The 27,464-nt window shown below is 39.7% G+C and overlaps 1 protein-coding gene and 1 long non-coding RNA gene across 3 annotated transcripts in view; one reads left to right on the forward strand and one right to left on the reverse strand.

Moving 5' to 3' along the window:
• PRELID2 (PRELI domain containing 2) overlaps nt 1-27,464 on the reverse strand; it is a 606,358-nt gene that overhangs the window by 185,104 nt on the left and 393,790 nt on the right. The window lies entirely within an intron of this gene.
• The window catches only part of LOC105378211 (uncharacterized), a 50,059-nt gene continuing 38,373 nt past the window's right edge, over nt 15,779-27,464 (forward strand). For both annotated transcript variants that reach the window (XR_007058983.1, XR_001742911.2), the window contains exon 1: nt 15,779-15,837. This is a non-coding gene — a long non-coding RNA (uncharacterized LOC105378211). The remainder of the gene's footprint in view (nt 15,838-27,464) is intronic.

Consider the following 27,464-nt stretch of genomic DNA (forward strand, 5'->3'; position numbering starts at 1 on the left):
TTATCTGACCCTTTTCAGGATATGGGAACTCTCTTGAAACATCAGCAATATACCATATCCCTTCCTCCCTAGTTGGTCAAGCAACCGGTAGAGAACAGGACCAGAGAAATTGACTGTTTGTTAAAGAAAGAAAGAGTTATCCACAATTCAAAATCTCTGGCCACATGAAATTGAACTACTTGGCAGATGTGTCCTAATAGGTGTTTTCTATAGAATCTTGGTTTACATTTGATTGGCTGCTCTTGTTGTAGCCAAAGGTGATGCCCTTCCATAACCACCACAACGAAAGTAACCCCCCAGGCCTGCTGAAAATCTGTCCCATTGTCCAGCATATCTCTGTAATAGAACCCCTCAGAACGTGTAGTTACCCTCTTTACTTATTTATTATTATTTCCTGCTATTATTATTCTCAGTCTGTGAAGACAGAACACTTTTCTTTCTTTTTCAATTAAGAAGTAAAATTGTCTTCTTATTTCCAATATGTTTAAGTAACTAGAAGAGTGGTAGATATATAGTAGGCCTTCAATAAATATTTGTTGAACTAATGAATGAAACAATAAATACACAATGCATACAAAACTGACCTGGCAGAATTGTGAATCAGAGTAGTGTTCTCCTATTTTAAACTTTTGCTGAATTAATTCTCTCAAATGAGTGCAATTTCAACCACCATATAAGTATTTACTTGGGCATCTCAGCACTCAATACCTGAGTCTTGAAATAATATGCAGCACAATGGCATAGGCAGAATGATTTCATTTGAATATGTCCACATGGGAGGATTCTGTTTACCATTTATATGTCTCATAAAATAGATTTGGAAAATCATCACCAGCAATAACTCTAGGCTGCAGTGAGAAAAAGCAATGGTTCTAAGACCTGAACTCAGCTCTGGATCAAGTGGCTCTGATAGATATCTATAGAACTCTCCACCCCAAAATAACAGAATATACATTCTTATCACCACACAGCACTTCCTCTAAAATTGATCACATAATTGGAAGTAAAACACTCCTCAGCAAATGCAAAAGAACTGAAATACTAACAGTCTCTCAGATTAGAGCACAATCAAATTAGATTGAAAAATTTACTCATAACACACAACTAAATGGAAATCGAACAACGTGTTCCTGAATGACTCTTTTTTTTGTTGTTGGTTTTGTTTTGTTTTTTATTTTATTTTCTTTTTTTCTTTTTTTTATTATTATTATACTTTAAGTTTTAGGGTACATGTGCACAATGTGCAGGTTAGTTACATATGTATACATGTGCCATGCTGGTGTGCTGCACCCATTAACCCATCATTTAGCATTAGGTATATCACCTAATTCTAACCCTCCCCCACCCCCACCCCACAACAGTCCCCAGAGTGTGATGTTCCCCTTCCTGTGTCCATGTGATCTCATTGTTCAATTCCCATCTATGAGCGAGAACATGCAGTGTTTGGTTTTTTGTCCTTGCGATAGTTTACTGAGAATGATGATTTCCAATTTCATCCATGTCCCTACAAAGGACATGAACTCATCATTTTTTATGGCTGCATAGTATTCCATGGTGTATATGTGCCACATTTTCTTAATCCAGTCTATCATTGTTGGACATTTGGGTTGGTTCCAAGTCTTTGCTATTGTGAATAGTGCCACAATAAACATATGTGTGCATGTGTCTTTATAGCAGCATGATTTATAGTCCTTTGGGTATATACCCACTAATGAGATGGCTGGGTCAAATCGTATTTCTAGTTCTAGATCCCTGAGGAATCGCCACACTGACTTCCACAATGGTTGAACTACTTTACGGTCCCACCAACAGTGTAAAAGTGTTCCTATTTCTCCACTTCCTCTCCAGCATCTGTTGTTTCCTGACTTTTTAATGATTGCCATTCTAACTGGTGTGAGATGGTATCTCATTGTGGTTTTGATTTGCATTTCTCTGATGGCCAGTGATGATGAGCATTTTTTCATGTGTCTTTTGGCTGCATAAATGTCTTCTTTTGAGAAGTGTCTGTTCATATCCTTCACCCACTTTTTGATGGGGTTGTTTGTTTTTTTCTTGTAAATTTGTTTGAGTTCATTGTAGATTCTGGATATTAGCCCTTTGTCAGATGAGTCGGTTGGCTAGCCATATGTAGAAAGCTGAAACTGGATCCCTTCCTTACACCTTATACAAAAATTAATTCAAGATGGATTAAAGACTTAAACGTTAGACCTAAAACCATAAAAACCCTAGAAGAAAACCTAGGCATTACCATTCAGGACATAGGCACGGGCAAGGACTTCATGTCTAAAACACCAAAAGCAATGGCAACAAAAGACAAAATTGACAAATGGGATCTAATTAAACTAAAGAGCTTCTGCACAGCAAAAGAAACTACCATCAGAGTGAACAGGCAACCTACAAAATGGGAGAAAATTTTCGCAACCTACTCATCTGACAAAGGGCAAATATCCTGAATGACTCTTGGGTAAATAATGAATTTAAGGCAGAAATCAGGAAGTTCTTTGAAACTAATGAGAACAAAGAGACAATGTACCTGAATCTCTGGGACACAGCTAAAGCAGCATTAAGAGGAAAATTTATAGCATTGAATGCCCACAACAAAAAGCTAGAAAGATCTCAAGTTAACAACCTAACATCACAGCTAAAAGAACTAGAAAAGCAAACAAACCCCAAAGCTAGCAGAATACAAGAAATAACCAACAAAAGAGCTGAACTGAAGCAGACAAAGATATGAAAAATCCTTCAAGAAAATCAGTGAATCCAGCTTTAACCCAAAAGTCCAAGCCCAAAGTCTCATCTGAGTCAAAGAAAGTCCCTTCTGCCTATGAGCCCATAAAAAGCAAAAGCAAGTTAGTTACATCCTAGATAAAACTAGTTTTCAAAAAATTAGTTTTTTGAAAAAATTAATAAAACAGACTGCAAGCTAGACACATAAAGAAGAAGAGAAGAGATAAATAGAGACAATCAGAAATGATAAGGGAGATATCACCACTGACCCCACAGAAATACAACCATTAGGGAATATTATAAATACCTCTATGCACATAAACTAGAAAATCTAGAAGTGGATAAATTCCTAGACACATACACCCTCCCAAGTCTGAACCAGGAAGAAATTGAATCCCCAAACAGATTGATAATGAGTTCTGAAACTGAGGCAGTAATAAATAGCCTAGGAACAAATAAAAGCCCAAGACCAGATGAATTCACAGCTGAATTCTACCAAAGGTACAAAGAAGAGCTGTTGCCATTTCTACTGAAATGATTCCAAACAACTGAAAAGAAGGAACTCCTCTGTAACTCATTCTATGAGGCCAGCATCATCCTGATACCAAAACCTGGCAGAGATACAAGAAAAAAAGAAAATATCAGACCAATATCCTTGATGAACCTCAATGCAAAACTTCTCAATAAAATACTGGCACACCAAACCAGCAGCACATCAAAAAGCTTATCCACCATGATCAAGTTGGCTTCATCCCCAGGATGCAAGGTTGGTTCAACATAGGCAAATCAATAAATGTGATTCACCATATAAACAGAACTAATGACAAAACCACATGATTATATCAATAGATGCAGAAAAAGCCTTTGACAAAATTCAACATCCCTTCATGTTAAAAACTCTCAATAAACTGGATATTGAAGGGACATATCTCAAAATAATAAGAGCCATACACGATAAATCCACAGCCATTATCATAATGGATGGGCAAAAGCTGGAGGCATTCCTCTTGAAAACCAGCATAAGGCAAGGATGTCCTTTCTCACCATTTCTATTCAACATAGTATTGGAAGTTCTGGACAGGGAAATCAAGCAAGAGAAAGAAATAAAGGGTATTCAAATAGGAAGTGAGGGAGTCAAATTATCTTTGCAGATGACATGATTCTATATTTAGAAAACTCCATCATCTCAGCCCAAAATTTTCTTAAGCTGAGAAAAGCAACTTCAGCAAAGTCTCAGGACATAAAGTCAATGCACAGAAATTGCTAGCATTTTTATACACCAATAACAGGCAAGAGCCAAATCATGAATGAACTCCCATTCACAATTGCTACAGAAAAAAAAATACCTAGGAATACAGATAACAAGGAAAGTGAATGACCATTTCCAGGAGAACTATAAAGCACTTTTCAAAGAAATAAGAAAGGACATAAACAAATGGAAGAACCAACCATCCTCATGATTAGGAAGAATCAATATCATGAAAATGGCCATCCAGTACAAAGTAATTTGTAGCTTCAATACTATTTTCATTGAACTACCATTTATATTCTTCACAGAATTAGAAAAAAAACTATTTTAAAATTCATAGAGAACCAAAAAATAGCCCAGATAGCCAAGACAATCCTAAGCAAAAATAAAACTGGAGGCATCATGTTAACCAACTTCAAACTATACTACAGGGCTACAGTAACCAAAACAGCATGGTATAAGAACAGTGGTATAAGAACAGATGCATAGACCAATGGAAAAGAATACTCAGAAATAATACTGCACACCTACAACCATCTTATCTTCCACAAACCTGACAAAAACAACCAATGGGGAAAGAATTCCCTATGCAATAAATGGTGCTGGGAGAACTGGTTAGCCATATGCAGAAAACTGAAACTGAACCCCTTCCTTATACCATATACAAATTTTTTTTTATTATACTTTAAGTTTTAGGGTACATGTGCACATTGTGCAGGTTAGTTACATATGTATACATGTGCCATGCTGGTGCGCTGCACCCACTAACTCGTCATCTAGTATTAGGTATATCTCCCGATGCTATCCCTCCCCCCTACCCCCACCCCACAACAGTCCCCAGAGTGTGATATTCCCCTTCCTGTGTCCATGTAATCTCATTGTTCAATTCCCACCTATGAGTGAGAATATGTGGTGTTTGGTTTTTTGTTCTTGCGATAGTTTACTGAGAATGATGATTTCCAATTTCATCCATGTCCCTACAAAGGACATGAACTCATCATTATTTATGGCTGCATAGTATTCCATGGTGTATATGTGCCACATTTTCTTAATCCAGTCTATCATTGTTGGACATTTGGGTTGGTTCCAAGTCTTTGCTATTGTGAATAATGCTGCAATAAGCATACGTGTGCATGTGTCTTTATAGCAGCATGATTTATAGTCCTTTGGGTATATACCCAGTAATGGGATGGCTGGGTCAAATGGTATTTCCAGTTCTAGATCCCTGAGGAATCGCCACACTGACTTCCACAAGGGTTGAACTAGTTTACAGTCCCACCAACAGTGTAAAAGTGTTCCTATTTCTCCACATCCTCTCCAGCACCTGTTGTTTCCTGACTTTTTAATGATTGCCATTCTAACTGGTGTGAGATGGTATCTCATTGTGGTTTTGATTTGCATTTCTCTGATGGCCAGTGATGATGAGCATTTTTTCATGTGTTTTTTGGCTGCATAAATGTCTTCTTTTGAGAAGTGTCTGTTCATGTCCTTCGCCCACTTTTTGATGGGGTTGTTTGTTTTTTTCTTGTAAATTTGTTTGAGTTCATTGTAGATTCTGGATATTAGCCCTTTGTCAGATGAGTAGGTTGCGAAAATTTTCTCCCACATTGTAGGTTGCCTGTTCACTCTGATGGTAGTTTGTTTTGCTGTGCAGAAGCTCTTTAGTTTAATTAGATCCCATTTGTCAATTTTGTCTTTTGTTACCATTGCTTTTGGTGTTTTAGACATGAAGTCCTTGCCCATGCCTATGTCCTGAATGGTAATGCCTAGGTTTTCTTCTAGGGTTTTTATGGTTTTAGGTCTAACATTTAACTCTTTAATCCATCTTGAATTGATTTTTGTATAAGGTGTAAGGAAGGGATCCAGTTTCAGCTTTCTACATATGGCTAGCCAGTTTTCCCAGCACCATTTATTAAATAGGGAATCCTTTCCCCATTGCTTGTTTTTCTCAAGTTTGTCAAAGATCAGATAGTTGTAGATATGCGGCATTATTTCTGAGGACTCTGTTCTGTTCCATTGATCTATATCTCTGTTTTGGTACCAGTTCCATGCTGTTTTGGTTACTGTAGCCTTGTAGTATAGTTTGAAGTCAGGTAGTGTGATGCCTCCAGCTTTGTTCTTTTGGCTTAGGATTGACTTGGCGATGCGGGCTCTTTTTTTAGTTCCATATGAACTTTAAAGTAGTTTTTTCCAATTCTGTGAAGAAAGTCATTGGTAGCTTGATGGGGATGGCATTGAATCTGTAAATTCCCTTGGGCAGTATGGCCATTTTCACAATATTGATTCTTCCTACCCATGAGCATGGAATGTTCTTCCATTTGTTTGTATCCTCTTTTATTTCCTGGAGCAGTGGTTTGTAGTTCTCCTTGAAGAGGTCCTTCACATCCCTTGTAAGTTGGATTCCTAGGTATTTTATTCTCTTTGAAGCAATTGGGAATGGGAGTTCACTCATGATTTGGCTCTCTGTTTGTCTGTTATTGGTGTATAAGAATGCTTGTGATTTTTGTACATTGATTTTGTATCCTGAGACTTTGCTGAAGTTGCTTATCAGCTTAAGGAGATTTTGGGCTGAGACAATGGGGTTTTCTAGATATATAATCATGTCATCTGCAAACAGGGACAATTTGACTTCCTCTTTTCCTAATTGAATACCCTTTATTTCCTTCTCCTGCCTAATTGCCCTGGCCAGAACTTCCAACACTATGTTGAATAGGAGTGGTGAGAGAGGGCATCCCTGTCTTGTGCCAGTTTTCAAAGGGAATGCTTCCAGTTTTTGCCCATTCAGTATGATATTGGCTGTGGGTTTGTCATAGATAGCTCTTATTATTTTGAAATACGTCCCATCAATACCTAATTTATTGAGAGTTTTTAGCATGAAGGGTTGTTGAATTTTGTCAAAGGCTTTTTCTGCATCTATTGAGATAATCATGTGGTTTTTGTCTTTTGCTCTGTTTATATGCTGGATTACATTTATTGATTTGCGTATATTGAACCAGCCTTGCATCCCAGGGATGAAGCCCACTTGATCATGGGGGATAAGCTTTTTGATGTGCTGCTGGATTCGTTTTGCTAGTATTTTATTGAGGATTTTTGCATCAATGTTCATCAAGGATATTGGTCTAAAATTCTCTTTTTTTGTTGTGTCTCTGCCTGGCTTTGGTATCAGAATGATGCTGGCCTCATAAAATGAGTTAGGGAGGATTCCCTCTTTTTCTATTGATTGGAATAGTTTCAGAAGGAATGGTACCAGTTCCTCCTTGTACCTCTGGTAGAATTCGGCTGTGAATCCATCTGGTCCTGGAATCTTTTTGGTTGGTAAGCTATTGATTATTGCCACAATTTCAGAGCCTGTTATTGGTCTATTCAGGGATTCAACTTCTTCCTGGTTTAGTCTTGGGAGAGTGTATGTGTCCAGGAATTTATCCATTTCTTCTAGATTTTCTAGTTTATTTGCATAGAGGTGTTTGTAGTATTCCCTGATGGTAGTTTGTATTTCTGTGGGATCGGTGGTGATATCCCCTTTATCATTTTTTATTGCGTCTATTTGATTCTTCTCTCTTTTTTTCTTTATTAGTCTTGCTAGCGGTCTATCAATTTTGTTGATCCTTTCAAAAAACCAGCTCCTGGATTCATTAATTTTTTGAAGGGTTTTTTTGTCTCTATTTCCTTCAGTTCTGCTCTGATATTAGTTATTTCTTGCCTTCTGCTAGCTTTTGAATGTGTTTGCTCTTGCTTTTCTAGTTCTTTTAATTGTGATGTTAGGGTGTCAATTTTGGATCTTTCCTGCTTTCTCTTGTGGGCATTTAGTGCTATAAATTTCCCTCTACACACTGCTTTGAATGCGTCCCAGAGATTCTGGTATGTTGTGTCTTTGTTCTCCTTCGTTTCAAAGAACACCTTTATTTCTGCCTTCACTTCGTTATGTACCCAGTAGTCATTCAGGAGCAGGTTGTTCAGTTTCCATGTAGTTGAGTGGTTTTGAGTGAGATTCTTAATCCTGAGTTCTAGTTTGATTGCACTGTGGTCTGAGAGATAGTTTGTTATAATTTCTGTTCTTTTACATTTGCTGAGGAGAGCTTTACTTCCAACTATGTGGTCAATTTTGGAATAGGTGTGGTGTGGTGCTGAAAAAAATGTATATTCTGTTGATTTGGGGTGGAGAGCTCTGTAGATGTCTATTAGGTCCGCTTGGTGCAGAGCTGAGTTCAATTCCTGGGTATCCTTCTTGACTTTCTGTCTCGTTGATGTGTCTAATGTTGACAGTGGGGTGTTAAAGTCTCCCATTATTAATGTGTGGGAGTCTAAGTCTCTTTGTAGGTCACTCAGGACTTGCTTTGTGAATCTTGGTGCTCCTGTATTGGGTGCATATATTTTTAGGATAGTTAGCTCTTCTTGTTGAATTGATCCCTTTACCATTATGTAATGGCCTTCTTTTTCTCTTTTGATCTTTGTTGGTTTAAAGTCTGTTTTATCAGAGACTAGGATTGCAACCCCTGCCTTTTTTTTTGTTTTCCATTGGCTTGGTAGATCTTCCTCCATCCTTTTATTTTGAGCCTATGTGTGTCTCTGCATGTGAGATGGGTTTCCTGAATACAGCACACTGATGGGTCTTGACTCTTTATCCAATTTGCCAGTGTGTGTCTTTTAATTGGAGCATTTAGTCCATTTACATTTAAAGTTAATATTGTTATGTGTGAATTTGATCCTGTCATTATGATGTTAGCTGGTTATTTTGCTCATTGGTTGATGCAGTTTCTTCCTAGTCTCGATGGTCTTTACATTTTGGCATGATTTTGCAGTGGCTGGTACCGGTTGTTCCTTTCCATGTTTAGTGCTTCCTTCAAGAGCTCTTGTAAGGCAGGCCTGGTGGTGACAAAATCTCTCAGCATTTGCTTGTCTGTAAAGTATTTTATTTCTCCTTCACTTATGAAGCTTAGTTTGGCTGGATATGAAATTCTGGATTGAAAATTCTTTTCTTTAAGAATGTTGAATATTGGCCCCCACTCTCTTCTGGCTTGTAGGGTTTCTGCCGAGAGATCCGCTGTTAGTCTGATGGGCTTCCCTGTGAGGGTAACCCAACCTTTCTCTCTGGCTGCCCTTAACATTTTTTCCTTCATTTCCACTTTGGTGAATCTGACAATTATGTGTCTTGGAGTTGCTCTTCTCGAGGAGTATCTTTGTGGCGTTCTCTGTATTTCCTGAATCTGAACGTTGGCCTGCCTTGCTAGATTGGGGAAGTTCTCCTGGATAATATCCTGCAGAGTGTTTTCCAACTTGGTTCCATTCTCCCCATCACTTTCAGGTACACCAATCAGGCATAGATTTGGTCTTTTCACATAGTCCCATATTTCTTGGAGGCTTTGCTCATTTCTTTTTATTCTTTTTTCTCTGGACTTCCCTTCTCACTTCATTTCATTCATTTCATCTTCCATCACTGATACCCTTTCTTCCAGTTGATCGCATCGGCTCCTGAGGCTTCTGCATTCTTCACGTAGTTCTCGAGCCTTGGTTTTCAGCTCCATCAGCTCCTTTAAGCACTTCTCTGTATTGGTTATTCTAGTTATACATTCTTCTAAATTTTTTTCAAAGTTTTCAACTTCTTTGCCTTTGGTTTGAATGTCCTCCCGTAGCTCAGAGTAATTTGATCGTCTGAAGCCTTCTTCTCTCATCTCGTCAAAGTCATTCTCCATCCAGCTTTGTTCCGTTGCTGGTGAGGAACTGCGTTCCTTTGGAGGAGGAGAGGCGCTCTGCTTTTTAGAGTTTCCAGTTTTTCTGTTCTGTTTTTTCCCCATCTTTGTGGTTTTATCTACTTTTGGTCTTTGATGTTGGTGATGTACAGATGGGTTTTTGGTGTGGATGTCCTTTCTGTTTGTTAGTTTTCCTTCTAACAGAGAGGACCCTCAGCTGCAGGTCTGTTGGAGTACCCTGCCGTGTGAGGTGTCAGTGTGACCCTGCTGGGGGGTGCCTCCCAGTTAGGCTGCTCGGGGGTCAGGGGTCAGGGACCCACTTGAGGAGGCAGTCTGCCTGTTCTCAGATCTCCAGCTGCGTGCTGGGAGAACCATTGCTCTCTTCAAAGCTGTCAGACAGGGACATTTAAGTCTGCAGAGGTTACTGCTGTCTTTTTGTTTGTCTGTGCCCTGCCCCCAGAGGTGCAGCCTACAGAGGCAGGCAGGCCTCCTTGAGCTGTGGTGGGCTCCACCCAGTTCGAGCTTCCCGGCTGCTTTGTTTACCTAATCAAGCCTGGGCAATGGCGGGCGCCCCTCCCCCAGCCTTGCTGCCACCTTGCAGTTTGATCTCAGACTGCTGTGCTAGCAATCAGCGAGACTCCGTGAGCGTTGGACCCTCCCAGCCAGGTGCGGGATATAATCTCATGGTGCACCGTTTTTTAAGCCCGTCGGAAAAGCGCAGTATTCGGGTGGGAGTGACCCGATTTTCCAGGTGCCGTCAGTCACCGCTTTCTTTGACTCAGAAAGGGAACTCCCTGACCCCTTGCGCTTCCCAAGTGAGGCAATGCCTCACCCTGCTTCGGCTCGCGCACGGTGCGCGCACCCACTGACCGGCACTCCCTAGTGAGATGAACCCGGTACCTCAGATGGAAATGCAGAAATCACCCGTCTTCTGTGTCGCTCACACTGGGAGCTGTAGACCGGAGCTGTTCCTATTCGGCCATCTTGGCTCCTCCCCATCCATATACAAAAATTAACTCCAGATGGATTTAAGAGTTAAATGTAAAACCCAAAACTATAAAAACCCTAGAAGAAAATCTAGGCAATACCATTCAGGACATAGGCACAGGCAAACATTTCATGATAAAAATGCCAAAAGCAATTGCAACAGAAGCCAAAATTGACAAATGGGACCTAATTAAACTAAAGACCTTCTGCACAGCAAAAGAAACTATCATCAGAGTGAAGAGACAACCTACAGAGAGAAAACTTTTGCAATCTATCCATTTAACAAAAATCTAATATCCAGAGTCTACAAGGAACTTAAACCAATGTACAAGAAAAAAAAACATTAAAAAGTAGGCAAAAGACATGAACAGACACTTCTCAAAAGAAGACATACGTATGGCCAAGAAACATGAAAAAATGCTCAGCATCACTGATCATTAAAGAAATGCAAATCAAAACCACAAAGAGATACCATCTCATGCCAGTCAGAACGGCTATTACTAAAAAGTCAAAAAATAACATGCTGGTTAGGTTGTGGAGAAAAATGAATCCTTTTACACTGTTGGTGGAAGTGTAAATTTATTCAACTATTATAGAAGACAGTATGGTGATTCCTCAAAGAGCTAGAGACAGGAATACCATTTGCCCCAACAATCCCATGACTGAGTATATACCCAAAGGAATATAAATCATTCTATTATAAAGATACATGCATGAATACATTAACTGCAGCCCTATTCACAATAGCAAAAACATAGAATCGATCTAAATGCCCATCAATGATAGACTGAATACACAAAGTGTGGTAAACATACACCATGGAATACTATGCAGCCATAAAAAAGAACAAGATTACGTCCTTTGTTGGGATGTGGATGGAGCTGGAAGCCATTATCCTCAGCAAACTAATTCAGGAACAGAAAACCAACCACCTCATATTCTCACTTATAAGGGGGAGCTGAATGATGAAAACATATGGACACATGGTGGGAAACAATACACACTGGGGCCTGTTGTGGGTTGTTCTGGGGCGGGAATGACGATGGCACACATTTAACTATGTAACAAACCTGCACATCCTGCACATATATGCCTGAACTTAAAAGTTGAAGAAAAAAAAAATAATTCAGCAAAAGTTTAAAAAACCAACTATGCCTTCCCACTCCCACACAGCCTTCCCTTAGAGATCAGAGGTAGAAACACAAGGCACCTGCCTGGGAGCCCCCTCATCATCATTATTATTATTTTATCTTTAACTCAGCTCAAGTCTCACTTACTCCTCCTCCCTTCCCTCTCTGAATTAAACGTGGTGATTGTTTTCCCCAAATATCCTACTGGGAAAAGAAGGGGCCTCAGTCAGGACCCTTCTGGCAGATGAGAGCTGGCAGATGAGTGGACAGAAATAAAATCCATCTTTAAAGTGATCCTGTGGTTTGCCTGCAGGGTTTTTGCTGCTTTCCTCATGTTTCTCATTGATGTCCAGCCCAAATATCTATATTCTCTAAAACAGAAATAAGTTGTCCCCTCAAGATCAATATAGAAATAACTGACATTTCCTTCAGACGTTAAATTTTCATCTCGGTGAGGAAAAGACAAGGAATGAAGAATGGGGAGTGAGGACAAGAATTCCTGGAGTAAAACTGACTTTCAGCTACATCTTAAATGGCAAAGACTCTGACATGAATCAAATGTCTAAAGAGCTGCAGAATCTACATCTAACTTTTGAGGTAAATTCCCCATGAAGGTCCAACTATGAGGAAGGATCTGGGTTATTCATTTCTTTACCAAGTATAATATAAAGGGGATATTCTAAATAATAACAATAGTCAACATTTATGGTACATTGCCTATATGTCAGGCAGACTCCTAAGCTATTTGCATTCATTATTTATTTAATTCTACATAATCTTGTGTGACTTTTCCTATTGTTGGGATTGCTATTTTACAGGTGAGAAAACAACAACTCACAGAGGTAAAGTTGCACACCCAAGATCATACAGCTACTAAGCTGAGATGTGAACTCAGATCTGTTGATTCCAGAGCTGCAAGTCCACTGTACCACCTTGAATAGAAAGAATATGGAGAAAGAAAAGAATAAGAGGGAAGAAAATAAATTTGGCATTTCTTTCCTACCCAGGATTCTAGTACCCTGGTTGAGATGGTCTTGTAGGATCCCACGCATGGAGGCTTCCAAAGACAAGCAGTTTACCCACCAATAGGCTTTTTTGTTCGGCAACTGAGTCAAATCTCTGAGTAACTGAATTCACTTGCCTACACATCATAATTGGACAAGGTACAGAACGGATCTGACCTACTTTAGAATCAATTTTCTTGTACCCCATAGACTCTTTCAAGCTAATTTACAAATATCATCCTGTTTTTGTCAAATACATCTAATTGCTCCTGGAGTGTTAACAGATGACACTGCCTGCCAGGCAGAATCTGCCAAGATTGGAGCTGCTGTGCAATATTGTTTTGCAAGAAAATCCCTAAGTCTTGGTTTTAGACAACCTCAAAAACAGAGAAGAACACTAAGAGTATTTCAGAGGTCTGGCTATGAATTTTAACCCTCTAATGTAGTGTGTTACCAAAAGAGCCCTGTGACACAGTGTATTTATTAATCAGATTTAAGACTCTCCTCTCCCCTCAACTCTGTATCCCAGCCTTAATATTTTTTTTATTCAGACAAGAATCTAAAATTGGATTTGAAAGATGGCATCTATTTTTAAACATACCCCTTGGAATTAACTAGTGGAGAGCGCAGAATCAGTGATCAGAGCACAGTACCATCTGGGTGAGAGAGATTCGCTTATTCAATCTCATAGTCAGGTGCCAGGAGGTATTTAGTCCCTGCTGTGAACCAGGCACTTGTGCGGGATGCTGTTGATATACTGACAAAAGGAACGAACCATAGTCCTTGCCCTCATAGAGTTTATAATCTATGAAAACAATCGCACCATTAAAGGTATAATACAGTTTTGTTGTGATAAATGGTATAAGGAAATAGTGAATGGTGCTATGAGATAGTGCAAAGAGAATTTGGGCAGAAAGTTCAGGGATGTAATCATGAAGTTTAGATTAGACGATATTAATTATGAGAAGAGGGACAGAAAACCAGGATATTTAGGCACTAATGGAGAGAACAGATTGGAAGGGCAATAGTGATAATAGATGCCAGTGGATCTCAAGTAAATCTTGTATGAAAACAGTTCAATTTCTTTCTTTCTTTCTTTTTTTGAGACGGAGTTTTGCTCGTGTCACCCAGGCTGGAGTGCAATGGTGCAATCCCAGATCACTGCAATCTCTGCCTCCTGGGTTCAAGCGATTCTCCTGCCTCAGCATCCGGAGTAGCTGGGATTACAGGTGCCTGCCACCACACCTGGCTAATTTTCATATGTTTACTAGAGATGGGGTTTCACCGTGTTGGTCAAACTGGTCTCAAACTCTTGACCTCAGGTGTTCCATCCATCTCAGCCTCCCAAAGTGCTGGGATTGCAGGCCTGAGTCACCGTGCCCGGCCAAACAATTCAATTTCTACTTCTATTGGTGCCACAGGCTATTTGAGTTGCAATGATCTTCCAGATTACCTCACCTAGTCTCTCACCCATTGTAAGAATCTCTACCTCTATTTATTCATTCATTTATAAAACACTTCTAAGCTTTTCTAGGCTCTGGAGATATTCAAGTAGAAAAAAAAACTGTTCCTGCCTGCCTGAAATTAATGTTCTAGTACAAAGAATCAGACAACAAACAAACAACAGGTAAATATAGAATATGTCAAAGGCTGGAAGGGCTACGGAGAAGTTGTGGGGTGGGGGCAGGGAGGAGGAGATATACCTAATGTAAATGACAAGTTAATGGGTGCAGCACACCAACATGGCACATGTATACACATGTAACAAACCTGCACTTTGTGCACATGTACCCTAGAACTTAAAATATAATAATAATAATGAAAAACAGAGTGAGATGCAGAGATAGTTTATTGGGGGCTATTTAAATACAGAGGTGTAGAAAGTCCTTATTGGTATGAAGAAGTCACTGGGGTAGAAATTTGAAAGAAATAAGCAAGGGAGGCATGCAGCTATCAGGAGGAAGAGCATTCCAGGCAGAGGAGAGAACAAAAGTGAAGCCCCCAGGCAGGTGCATGCTACTGTGTTCTAGGGGCAATAAGGAGGCCAGTGTGGCTGGGCTGAGTGAACAAAGTCCAAAGAGGAGTAGGGAAGGAGTGCAAAGTGGGAATAGGAAAACAGTTCATGTGGGGCCTTGGAAGCCTTTGTAAATGGACTTCTGCTTTCCATGAGATGAGAAACTCCTGGGAGCCCTTAAGCAGAGGGTGACATTAAATGACTCTGATATTTAAAAGAGCACTTTGGAGACTGTGTGAAAACATTAAGAGCAGAGGTCAGAGCAGAAGCAAGGATAGAGATGGGATAGAAACCTATTGCAATAATGAAGGCAAACAGATTAGGATGGTTTGAACCTGATGATAGTGGTAGAGAGGGTGAAAGTAATTGTACCCTGGCCATGAAAGGAAGGTAGGGTTAACAAGATTGGCTAACGGATTGGTCATGGGGTATGAGAGAAAGAAACGAGGCCAAGATGACTTCGAGGTTTGTGGTCTGAGCAACTAGAACAATGTAGCTACCATGAACTGAAATTGAAACTATGGGAGGAAACCATCTGGGGGAGAGGAATATGAGGAGTCTAGGTTTGCACATGTTAAGCAAAAGCTGCCTATTACAGAGTTAGTGAGATATGGAGTAGGCAGTTGGTTTTATGGAAAGAGATTGATATTTCAGGGAAGAGATACATACAATTGGGAATACAGGATGAGATTACGTAGGTAGGTCATGTAGACAGGGAAGTGCGGAAGTCCAAGGACTGAGATCCAAAAAGCTAATATCCAGGGAACCTAGTTCATTATGTATTTATTTCACAAATGTTGAATATCTCCCAAGTACCAGAAATATGATATCAAGAAGTGGAGACTCTTTCCCCACACTTTGATTCTAGGCTGGTGTTATGACTTGCTTTGACCAATAGAATGTAGTGCAAGTCACAATGTGCTCATTCTGGGCCTAAGCCTAGAGAGGCCTGGCATGCTTCCATTCTGTCTCTTAGGGTCCTGCCACCACCACATATGTTAGCCTGCTGGAGGACGACAGCCAGCCAACCTCCAGACATGTGAGTGAGGCCAACCTAAACCAGCCAGCCCTCAGCCATCCCAGCAGCTGAACACAGATGCATGAGAAAGGCCAGTCTGTATTACCTGAATGCAGCCCAGAAGAGCAGAACCACCTATTGGGTCCTTAGTCTCATGGGAAATAGTAGATGGTGGTTGTTTGCTGCCACTAACATGTGGAGTGGTTTTCGATGAAGTAATAGTTAATTAATCCAATTTTTGTCTTCCCAACTCTACATGTGCAAATTCTACCCATTCCATTTCAAATATACCATCCTCCATGAAGTATTGCCTGATACCTACAGCAAGAAGTCAGCTCTTTTTCCTCTGACACCCTACAGCATTTAAACTGTATCTTTTGGTATTTGTCAGAATAGGTTAAAACTATGCTGCTGTAACAAATTTCTTTGGCTTTGTATAAAAAAGATTTATTTCTTGCTCATGGTACACAACTTATGAGAATTGCCGGGGAGTTCTGCTTCACACATTCTCTCAGGCTACCACACTGAGGCAAGCGGCACCTTCATGGAAACACTGTCTCAGATCTAGACCTCAGACAAATCATGAAGAACTCAAACCTGCTCTTCGTCACTTCTGCCCACTGCCCATTGTCTAGGCCTGGTCATGTGTCCTCATCTAACTGCAAGACAGCTGGAAAATCAGGGAAAGCACATGGATACTTGTCCATGTCTATGCCATTGTTTCTCATGGTACCATTTCTTTATGCCTGTATACCTTTGATTTGCGTAGTTTTCTTTCTTATACCGAATGTGGTATATATCCTCGCCCAGGACTCGTTTCATGAACATGCATGCTGTGCATTCTCACAGGGCCCCCATGCTTAAAACTCTTAGTTTAATAATTTGATATCACCATTTTGAAATTCTTAATGAGTTTCAACAGGAAGCCTCTCATTTTCACTTTGTCCTGAACCCTGCAAATTATATAGCTGATCTTGTTCATACCTAATCTAGTAATTCTCAACCCAGAGTGCTCACTGGAGGAATTTTTTAAAATATAGATACCCAAGCCCCACCTGAGAACAAATTACATCAAACTCTGGGAATGAGGCCCTGGCAATGGTTTTTTTTTTTTTTTTTTTTTTTTTTTTTTAACAAATTATAACATTTTGTCAGAGTTGAGCATCACAGCCCTAATGTTATGGCCCAGAGAACCTCTTCTGACATTTTCTTAAAACAAAATACGGTGGGAAATAGAATTTTTTAAAAATCAAAGATAATAGAAAGGTATTTAAAAGGTAAAATTTCTTTTTTATCCACTCCCAATCACTAGTCTTTCTTCCCAAATGAAATAATTGTGAACAGTTTTTAAGTAGTAATGTTCTAGAAACATGTTTCAGCATAGACAATTTGAATATCAAAATTAAAAGATATAGTAATGGGTTATAACATATTGAATAAACTAGGAAACTCTGAGTCCATACTGATTTAAATAAATAAACGGATAAACTGAAAGTTTGATGATAAACTGGATATTTACATAGTTTGAAAGTTTTTCCCCATCAAATACTTACGAATTTCAAAGGGAAAAGTGTAACTGCACAATGAAGAAGTCTGACTGACAACACCTTAATCATGTGATCAAAGTGAACATCATCATCAGTAAAGGGACAAATCATGCACCACCTGATAGGATGCAGCAAGAAAGACACAGCATCAGCTCCGTAATATTTCTGCCAAAAATGTACAACTTCAATCTAATCATAAGGAAAATTCAGGCAAAGACAAATTAAGAAACGTTCTACAAAATAACTGTAGTTTCCAATGTATCCAGTTCATGAAATTAAAGTCTGAAGAACTACTTCAGACTGAAAGGGACTAAAGAGATAAGACAACTAAATGCAACACATGATTCTGAACTGGATCTTTTTGCAAAAGGATAATGATGTCATATCTATCTTAGAGAAACAATAGCAGATACATGCAAAGACAGATATACAGGGATGTTCACAATGGCATTGTTTCTGGTAGCAAGAAAAGTAAGAATACAAACTAAATATCCATCAACAGAGAAGAGATAAATTATAAGAAGTCATGCTGTGTAAAATAGAGAGCAATCACATGTAATTACCTAGAACATATCTGACATATTATTATTTGAAAATATATATATTTCAGACTAATACATACATCATGGTTCTATTTTTAATAAATGCATATATGTATATAAAAAGCTTGTAGTAGTAAAATGATTGCTTCTGAGGATAAAAGAAATTTTGCTTCTTATATGACATACACATAACTTTTAAGGTAGTCTATTAGGAATTTTAACTTTTTATTTTTCAAGAAATAAACTTTTATGCAAGATTGACAATTGACCTTCCTTTTGGCTGTTGTAGTTTAGCCAGTCAATAATTTTTTTGTAACCACCCTTGAAGAAATTTATGAGAGCTTTTAATTTTAAGGAACTTCCCAATTCAGTCTTCTGAGTCAAGCAGCATAAAGCATAAATGAAAAACTTTACTTAGCAAATAAGCTCAAGTTGTTAAAAAAAAAAAAAAAAGCAAAACCTAGAATAAAAGGAATAAAGTATCTCCAAGTAACTTACATTTCAGTAAAGAATCAATGTTCCTAATTTCAAGAAATTCAAAGCTGCCATGGACTAATTACCATGCATTGAATTCCTCCAAAATCTGATCCATTACATGTTTGTGTGTATCTCTCTTTAGGCATAACATAGAGAAACTGGGGGAGATGGCGGGGGGCACTACTGTAAGCTGTTTTCCTCCCTCCTTCCACAAAAGAATAATTTTGGTGTGAAAAGGATTTGCAAAACAAACACCAAGCTGCATAGGGCTTTGTGTTTTGAAGCCATAAGCATGAAAATCCATTTAAGAAACCTCTTTCTGCCTGCTGAGATAAACAGGTTCTAAGTGCCCTATATAAATCTCTGAACCATGGAAGAAAATAACCCCAAACTTTTTCTCTTTATTTGTCCCCAATTAAAGTTCAATGTAGGGGATTTATAATCCCCATCTAAACAGGGCATCTTCAATTGGTAGCCTGACGTAAATATCCAGCTTTAATGCTACAATAAAGGGACGAGAAGGGTCAACTCCATATCTTTATACAGAAGGGAAAATGATACCAACATTCAGCACTCCACCAAGACATTACTTACTAAGATGCCCCAGCAGATATTTGGCATTTTGTCTCCCCAACATCCATTCCCTCTGTCTAGTGTCACCTGTATTTCCACACTGATAATTAATTTCTCCTCCAGGATGTGTAGTATTAGAAAACCAATTCCAGCTGATTATTTTTAATGACAAAAGGAAAAGATCAGATCCTCCCTATCCCTGCCCAATACAGCCAGAGGGTGAGCACATGACCTAACCTCTGCCTTGGAGTATGTGAGGGTGAGGTGCGCTGCAGGTGATTAAACTACTGTCTCTCAGCTCAAAATTCACCTTTGCTACCCAGCTTTGTTTTGCCAGACCTGGGGCCTTGTAGATTGTATTTCTCAGGGCCAGGTGGCTTCCCGATTCATTGTGTCAATAGGGAAACTGGAAGGCAGGAGGAGAGAAGCGACTTGCTCCTCTGCCTTCAGCATCAGCCAGCTGCTGCTCTTCACCTGGGCATCGTCAGTTCTTTCCAACAACAACTGGTCCTTTATCAGCTTCTTTCCACAGTCCTAGAATCATCCTTGCCTCAGTCCCTCAGAGGTACCAGCCAGGTACCCTCTCCTCAGAGGTCTGAGCCCCAGCCTTGGCAGAATCCTCTTCCAACTCCCGAGACACCAGCAGAGGTTGGCCAGCATCCTCCCCTCAAAGGTCTAGGATTCAGCTCCTTCATGCCTCTTTGCCAAGCTTTTGGACTCTGACAACAGCAACTTCTCTTTGTTTCCTAGCCCTAGGCATGGTAGCTTCTTCCTGCTGGTACTGTATCTATGTTGTCTTGAGGATCATTTTTACGATTGCAATTTCCAACTTCTGTGCAACCATTTCCCTATGTTGAATTCTCTCCATTAAAATAAATGCCACAGTTTTGTTTTCCTCACTAGCCTCTGACCACCGCAGGCAGTCTCAGGATGTTGACTCCCACATGGGTTAATAAGGAGGGGAGGCATAGATTGCATGTTTTCATTACAAAATGGACATGGCTGTAGAGAGGGTCTTGAGGTTTTTCCCATGACAGAACCATTGCCATGCTGCTTCTTTCCAAGTCCTCCTCTCCTCTTTTAGTTTCCCTCATCCTCATGCAATTCTCCACCCTCCTTTGCATTCTGTAGGCCCATGAAAACCATCCAAACATTCCTCTTGCTTAGTTCAGTTAAAATTAGTTTCAGTGAATTGTGACTAAGAGCACACACTGCTACTAAATCATTAAGCAGGAAGGTTTGAGCAAACATCCTCATTCATTCCATCTTCCAATCCATGAGTATTCATTGAACAGAACACTTGGGACAAATGAAGTCAACTCTAGGTGACCTGAGTACTTTATGTTCAGGCTTCAAAAAACTGGATAACTGTATCATTTGTTTCTGATGTCCTCCAAATAACAACCCCTGACACGTACACATGTACAGAGACACAGACACACCATGCTCAGTCTCAGCATTGCCAGGCTCATATTGAAACAGCCATCGAGGAATCATTAGTTCATAGATTAATGAGTTCATTCTCTTCACTAACCAGGTCTAGAGAAAAGAGGAGATGGGCCCAAGGCCATATAGCAAGCAATGAAAGAGTCATGGCCATGACACTGGCTTCTGGGGCACAGTTGACCCCATCCCACTGCCACCTGGTCAACCTGGCATCTCTATCTTAGGGAATCCAAGGAAGATGCAGAAGTGGGGGGCACTGGGTAGTGAATAGAAGAATATATAACCCTAGTCATTACAGAAAGTTTCTAACCTCAGGCAAATCCATCTTTATATGTGAAAGTCAGAAGGGAATAAAAGTAAGAAACCAGCAAACACTATTCTGAGCTAGATGAGAGGTGTATGCAGTGGGGGAAGAAGACTCAGGTTCAATCCCTGGCTCTTCCACTTACTCATTTTTGACGTATTATTTTACTGCTAAGAGTCCCATTCTATCTTCTGTTAAATGACGATGAAAACAAATGCCTATTCTCCTTTCAAAGTTATTCTAATTAAATATCCTTGTTCTTCCAATATGTGGGCTAAGCACTGCTGTAGCAGCTGGGAACACAGCAGTGGGCAAGACAAAACCTTCACCATCCTGGAACGTATGCCCTTGTAGAGGAAGATAGGCAGTATACAAATAAACTTATAAATAAAGATGACATTTTAGAGAGTGACAAATGCAATAGAAAAATTAGAGTAACTTGACAAAGAGTGGTTGAACTCACTAGGTCAGGAGGTCAGGGAGGGCGTCTTTGAGGAGGTGACACTTGAGCTGACTCATAAGGGAAGGAAAAAGAGATGATCTAGGTAGAGAACATTCCAAACAGTGGGAGGAGTGAGTGCAAAGGCCCACAAGCCAGAGCAAGTTTGATGTCTTGAGGAACAGAAAGAAGGACCAAGTGGAGCTGGGCCCAAGGGAGTGATGGGGAGAGTGGGGTCCCGTTGACTCTAAAGAAACAACACTTTCCACAGCTGGTATTTGTACATGCTTTAAGCATTGTGTGAAATCAATTGTCCTGTTCTCATTAGCCTACTTTATCATTTCAGCCTTTTGTTGCATAACTTCTTGTTCATTTTCAACAGTCAATGACTTCCTAGGACTTCTACTTTGTTTTCTGTGTGCTCTTCCTCGTTCTTTGCCAAATAGGGTCTTACAAGTTTTATATAAAGGGACTTTATAATATTTTTCCCATTTGGTGGAAATAATCACACCAATTTATGTCTTGTGGGCCAGAAAGGCAGTGTACTATGATAGGTAAGCAGTTGAGTTTTGAAATCAGGTCTTGGTTTAAAACTTGTGTCTACCACACTGTAGCAATGTTAATCTGCGCAAGTTAATTAGTTTCTCTAAGCCTTCATTTTTTTCACATATAGACTGAAAGATACCTAACTTACAAGATTTTTAAAATTTTTGTTTTTATTTTAGATTCAAGGGTACATGTGCAGGTTTGTTATATGGGAAAATTGTGTGTCACAGGGGTTTAGTGTACAGATTTTGTCACCCATGTAACAAGCATAGAACCTAATAGGTAGTTTTTCAACCCTCACCCTCCTCCCAACCTCCACCTTCAAGTAAGCCCTATTGTCTGTTTTTTCCTTCTTTGTGTCCATGTGCACTCAATTTTTAGCTCCCACTTATAAGTGACATGTGGCATTTTGTTTTCAGTTCTTGTGTTAGTTCACTTAGGATAATGGCCTCCAGCTCCATTCAGGTTGCTGCAAAAGACATGATCTTATTGTTATTTATGGCTGTGTAATATTCAATGTATACAGGTATCACATTTTATTTATCCAGTCTATTGTTGATGGGCTTTTAGGTTGATTCCATGTCTTTACTATTGTGAATGGCGCTGTGATGAACATATGCATGCATATGTCTTTATGGTAGAACCATTTACATTCCTTTGGATATATGCCCCCAAAATGGGATTGCTGGGTAGAATAGTAGTTCTAATTTCTTTAGAAATTGCTAAGCAGCTTTCCACAATGGCTGGACTAATTTACATTCCCACCAGCAGTGTATAAGCATTCCCTTTTCTCCTCTACCTCGCCAGCATTTGTTTTTTGTTTTTGTTTTTGTTTTTTACGTTTTAATAATACTCATTTGCTTTTGATTTGCATTTATCCAGTAATTAGTGATGCTGAGCATTTTTTCATATGTTTGCTGGCTGTGTTTATGTCATCTGTGAGAATCCTGAATGTGTGTAAGGCATAGAGGCTGGCTCACAGAAAGCACTCACTGAGACTAACAGTAGGTGTTCCTGTGCATTGGCATTTCCTCCTTCTTCCTAACTCTTCTCTACTAACTTCCTGCTGTTACTTCAAGACTCAGGTTTGATGTCATCTTCTGCAGCATGCCTTCCTTAGATATCCAGGCTGAATCAAGGTCTCCCGTTATCTTAAATCTTACCACCTAACACATCATATGGAATGTGTTTCACGTCTATTCTTCTCTTTTACTATTAGCTTCTTGACAGCAAGTAATGTGCTTCACTCATCTTTGCACACCAACCACAGAACCCAATATCCTCCACATAATAAATTCCCAATGTGATTGATAAATTCAACTGTGGATTATGTTAGACCAGACACCAGCTGCTGATAAACTGTCTCTGACTTGGACATCTCAGTGGCTGTGTAGAGAGAGCAGCCTTGCTGAGGAGGCGTTGAGAAAAGAAAAAGAAAACTTTACCATCTCTGGTAAGTGATGGTTGTCATCTGCTGTTTGTAACTCAAGGCATGCATATAAGTGCAGTTTTCTAATTTGTGTGACATTAGCTGTTAGTGCTAACTGAAAGAAATAATCCTGTTATTGCTCCAATGCTCCAGTGACTGAAGGAGGAAACAGAATCCATTAAAACAGAATATTGAAAAGGAAGAATTTACCTAATTCCCAAAGAATGCTGGAAATCTGAGTTTTCAAAGTCAGCCAGAAAGCAATTAAATGTCTTTAGTATATTAACCTTCTCTAAAATGAGACCTCTAACTCCTTTCTGAAGTAGCCTCTGTGCACAACTAAAATAGTCCCCACTACAATAGAAGACAGTATTTCGTGGGAGGGATCTTACTTTAGCTCAAAGGACACATATGAGAACCTTGGATTCAACTGACCACATGACTCTTCGTGTAGCTGACAGTCCCAGAAAAATCTGGGAGGCCTGATGCTCTCTGGAGTTTTGCACGGAGGCCCTTCTCTCCTTGGTTCATTCCTTCCCTCTCCCTCTGTTTTTAGAGATAAGAACCTAATAATCTCAAAACTGGATCAGGTGTGAGAACTCATGCTGCTATTAAAGAAATATGGTCTGGCATTTTCGCCCAAACATAATTGAAACTGGTCAAAAAGGCAGGAGATGTATATCTCTACCTATTTATGAAAAACAGTGCATCTTAGCTCTGAAAATGCTTCTTTCCCCTAGAGCCATCCATCCCCAAAGCAGAACAGTCAGACAAATGTCATCCTGTTTCCTGAGAGGTTGTTATACTCTCATGTCCTCCCTTGCAGAAGGGAAAATGCAAAAATATATTCTTATTTTTCCTCACCTGAGCCAGGAAGCAGCTTCTGCAATAATTGGACTGAGGGGATCAAATGTGGTTCACAAATTGATTCTGCCTATCAGAAAAAAAGTTCATTTAAATACAATGATAGATACAAACTCAGGACAGAGACACTATTTTCTTTATCCCCCAACAAATAAATCACTCCTCACTGTTAACATCAGAGATTTGGGGAAAAAATAGAAAAGAAAAAAAGAAGAAAGACAAGAAATCAAGAAGCAAATAGAGTATATTATCAAGCAAAACTCTGTTTGACTTTCTGCTGCATCCCCAAAGCCTAGTTATAAACAACATGACAAATCCTCTCTTTTGTACTACCCTCCCCTATCCTGAGAATTTCAGTGTTCTCTTAACCTCTTTTCCCACTCCATGGGCAACCCTAAATAAACCAACCTTGAATAAGATGCTCCAGCTTTGGGGATTATCTCACTATTTTACAGAGATGTGTCATCTCCGAATATAAACTGTCAGGATTTTTATTATTTATTGATAATTCTTAAGTTAGATGCCAAGGGCCTAGCAATTGGAACAGAGAAAACTGTTTAAAAAATAAAATAAATAGCACAAACTTTTCTGTTAGTGATCATTAGTGTGAAAGCAGGTTCTACCTATAATTTACTCATTTCCACCTGCTCTCGGAAACCTCATGCCTATCTTCCTGCAGAAATCACAAAACCTGTTGAACTGCAGCTATTGACTTGGAAATTGAATTTGGAGGAAAATCTCTAGTTCTTTGTGCACCTTCTGCCTCCTCTTTAAAGCTATTTAAGACCCAGAGCTTTTATATTGCCTCTCTTCACTTGTCTGTTGCATGCTGATTTCTCCCTTTCTTGAGACTTACCACCCATAATCACACAGTGTGCTGCCTTTTTCTCTGATGCAGCGATGCTGTCAGCTTCTTGAGAGCAGCAGCCATAGCTTATATCTCCCACAGCATCTAGCATGGGCCAGCAATGTTGCAGTTGCTCAAAAACACTTCCTTGGTGATCCTCCTTTACTTGTGTCCCCACTTCTGCACTGCTGCTCTGTAATACTTCAGGTTAGTCCATCCATTCTCAAATGTGTGGGATCAGATGGGATGCTCTGCAGAATTGCCTGGGATTGGCTCACTTCAAGTTTCAGCAAAGAAAGAATTGGTTGCCAACATTTAAGAATCAGGAGACTTCAGGTAACATTCTGATTTCTGGCCTGTCTTTAGGAATCGGATGATTTGGCAATACTGGCCCCCATTCTGGCGCATCAGCAACTCAGAGGAGCTAAGTGGCCTTCACATGGGTCATGTTCTCTAAATCTAGTGGCCCTCAATTCCAGTCAGCTTCATTTATTTATTATAAATTTCATATACCTCTGCCTGGGTCAAAAGTTTATAAGTCTGACCAGTCAGTGTCTGCTTTACAGGAGATTCAGATTATTCTCCCCCAAAGCCTATCATCTTTAAAATCAGCACTACCTATTTTATCTAAAACCAAATCCATTGTCTCAGACTCTGGGAATGTTCTGTGTTTTTGATGCCTCCCTATCTTGACTGCTGGCCTCACTGTTCTAGTTACCCAGACCTAAAGCCTCTGGGTTTCTCTATCTCCATCCTATCCCTCACTAAATCCTACATATTCCACTCCAACACATTTTCAAACTCTGTCTCCTCCTTTCCATTTCTACTGCCCTGCTTTCTGGCCTTCTGTACTCCTTACCTGGATCTCCTAACTTGCCTTCTATCCTTCAATCTCTGGTCTTCAAATTCATTCTTTACATTTTATCAAGGAGCACAGATCTGATTCTGTTACTTCTCTGTTCCAAAACAAAACAAACACAACAAAAAACTCCAAAATCTCCCTGTTGCCTGAAAACCTTTCTGAACTCCATGGACTCCACCATTTGTGCCCAATTTACCTTGATAGCCTTACCAGCTCTGTATCTTCCAGGGAAACCTCTATCCCAGCAGGCTATCCTCCAGTCTCCGAAACAGCTGTGTGCTAGTCCACTCTGAGGCTGAGCTCTAAGCTGTGAAACCCTTCCATGAGACTTGGGAAAATGCATTGCCCCTCCTGCATGGATGAACCGTTTAAATAAGACCTGGAGAAAAGAACTCAAATAAGTGACTTTTTTCTCTGTCATGACCAGATTCCAGCCACAGTGACCCAGGATGGGGAGGCTACTTCCTGAGAGGATAGAGCCTTCCCCAAACATCTTGAACCATCGCAAACAGAAATCGATTTTGCCTGAGTAAAACCAACCCCTTGTGAACCTCACTATCAATCATTTCTCTGATTTGGTATCCTTGGGACTCAATTTGAAGATTTCCAGTGGGACAGAAAAATTATAGTTTATTTCTTACTTTCAGAAAACCGAATAATAGCCAATGTGCCTTTTAGGAGCCATACCAGTTGTATCTTGATTTATATGTGTTTTGTTTGGTTTTTAACAAGGTTTGATTTCCACTGGCCAAATTATTAAGCACATGGAAAGTTCTTACAATGGGCTGAGGAAAATGTTGTTTTCAGACCTCCCTTCCTTTGCTCGGCTTTTTATTTCTGTTAATGGGCTTAAAACTAATTAGAGTAAATTAATTCCTCAGAATAATAACAATTGCCAGGGAGTCACAACCAACACTCTATTCTTAGAGATGAGAGCTTCCTGGGGGCTGGGAAACAATTACAACTTCTTAATGATCTATGGAAGAAAAGGATGCTGGATCTGTATCAATTATGTTTTATTTATTTGTTTCAGAAACTTTTAATGAATTTAAGGGGAAAATTATACATCTCAACAGAAAGCGCTTACCCTCTCTGAACCATGTTCCTCCTGTGGTCACAAGAGGCTCATTAGGCTGGCCTTAAAAACAGCAGTTGGGACAACGAGAAAGCTCCACAGAAAATCATGATGAGCAGTGTTCATTATCTATTCATGAGCACCTTTCTTGCATATTTAGCATTTGCAAAATATTGGATGTCATCAGCATATGGGAGTCCAGGAGAAATCTCACCTTCTTGCAAAGACAAAAATGGAAACGGCTGAGTCTTTCTACCCAGTTGAGGGAACCCAATCTGAACATGACGCCTAGTTGTTCTTTGACTCAGTTTAAATGATGTGAAGCTGAGCTGTACTCTCTGCAGCCCAAATATCTCTGGTTGAACAAAGAACATTAGCACCTAAGGCCAACAACTCTCAAAGTTTCTGTACTGTGAATGGTCCAACAGCTGAAAAAACTCAAGTTCATCTCACCTCCAATGTCTCTCTTGAATCTATTCCTTTCTGTCCATCTACACAGTTAGATACTAACCATCAGCCATGCCATCTCTTGCCACCATACATCATTTGTAATATAATTAGTCTCACACTTATCTCAGTTTCCCATCTCACTCCTCTCTTATCTATTTTCCACATTACAAACTGAGTGATTGTTTTGCTTCCTACAACACAGTTCTTATCATCACCATTGTCATCATTGAAATTATATTATCATAAT

This window comes from Homo sapiens, chromosome 5 (assembly GCF_000001405.40).
Source record: "Homo sapiens chromosome 5, GRCh38.p14 Primary Assembly".
Lineage (NCBI taxonomy): Eukaryota > Metazoa > Chordata > Mammalia > Primates > Hominidae > Homo > Homo sapiens.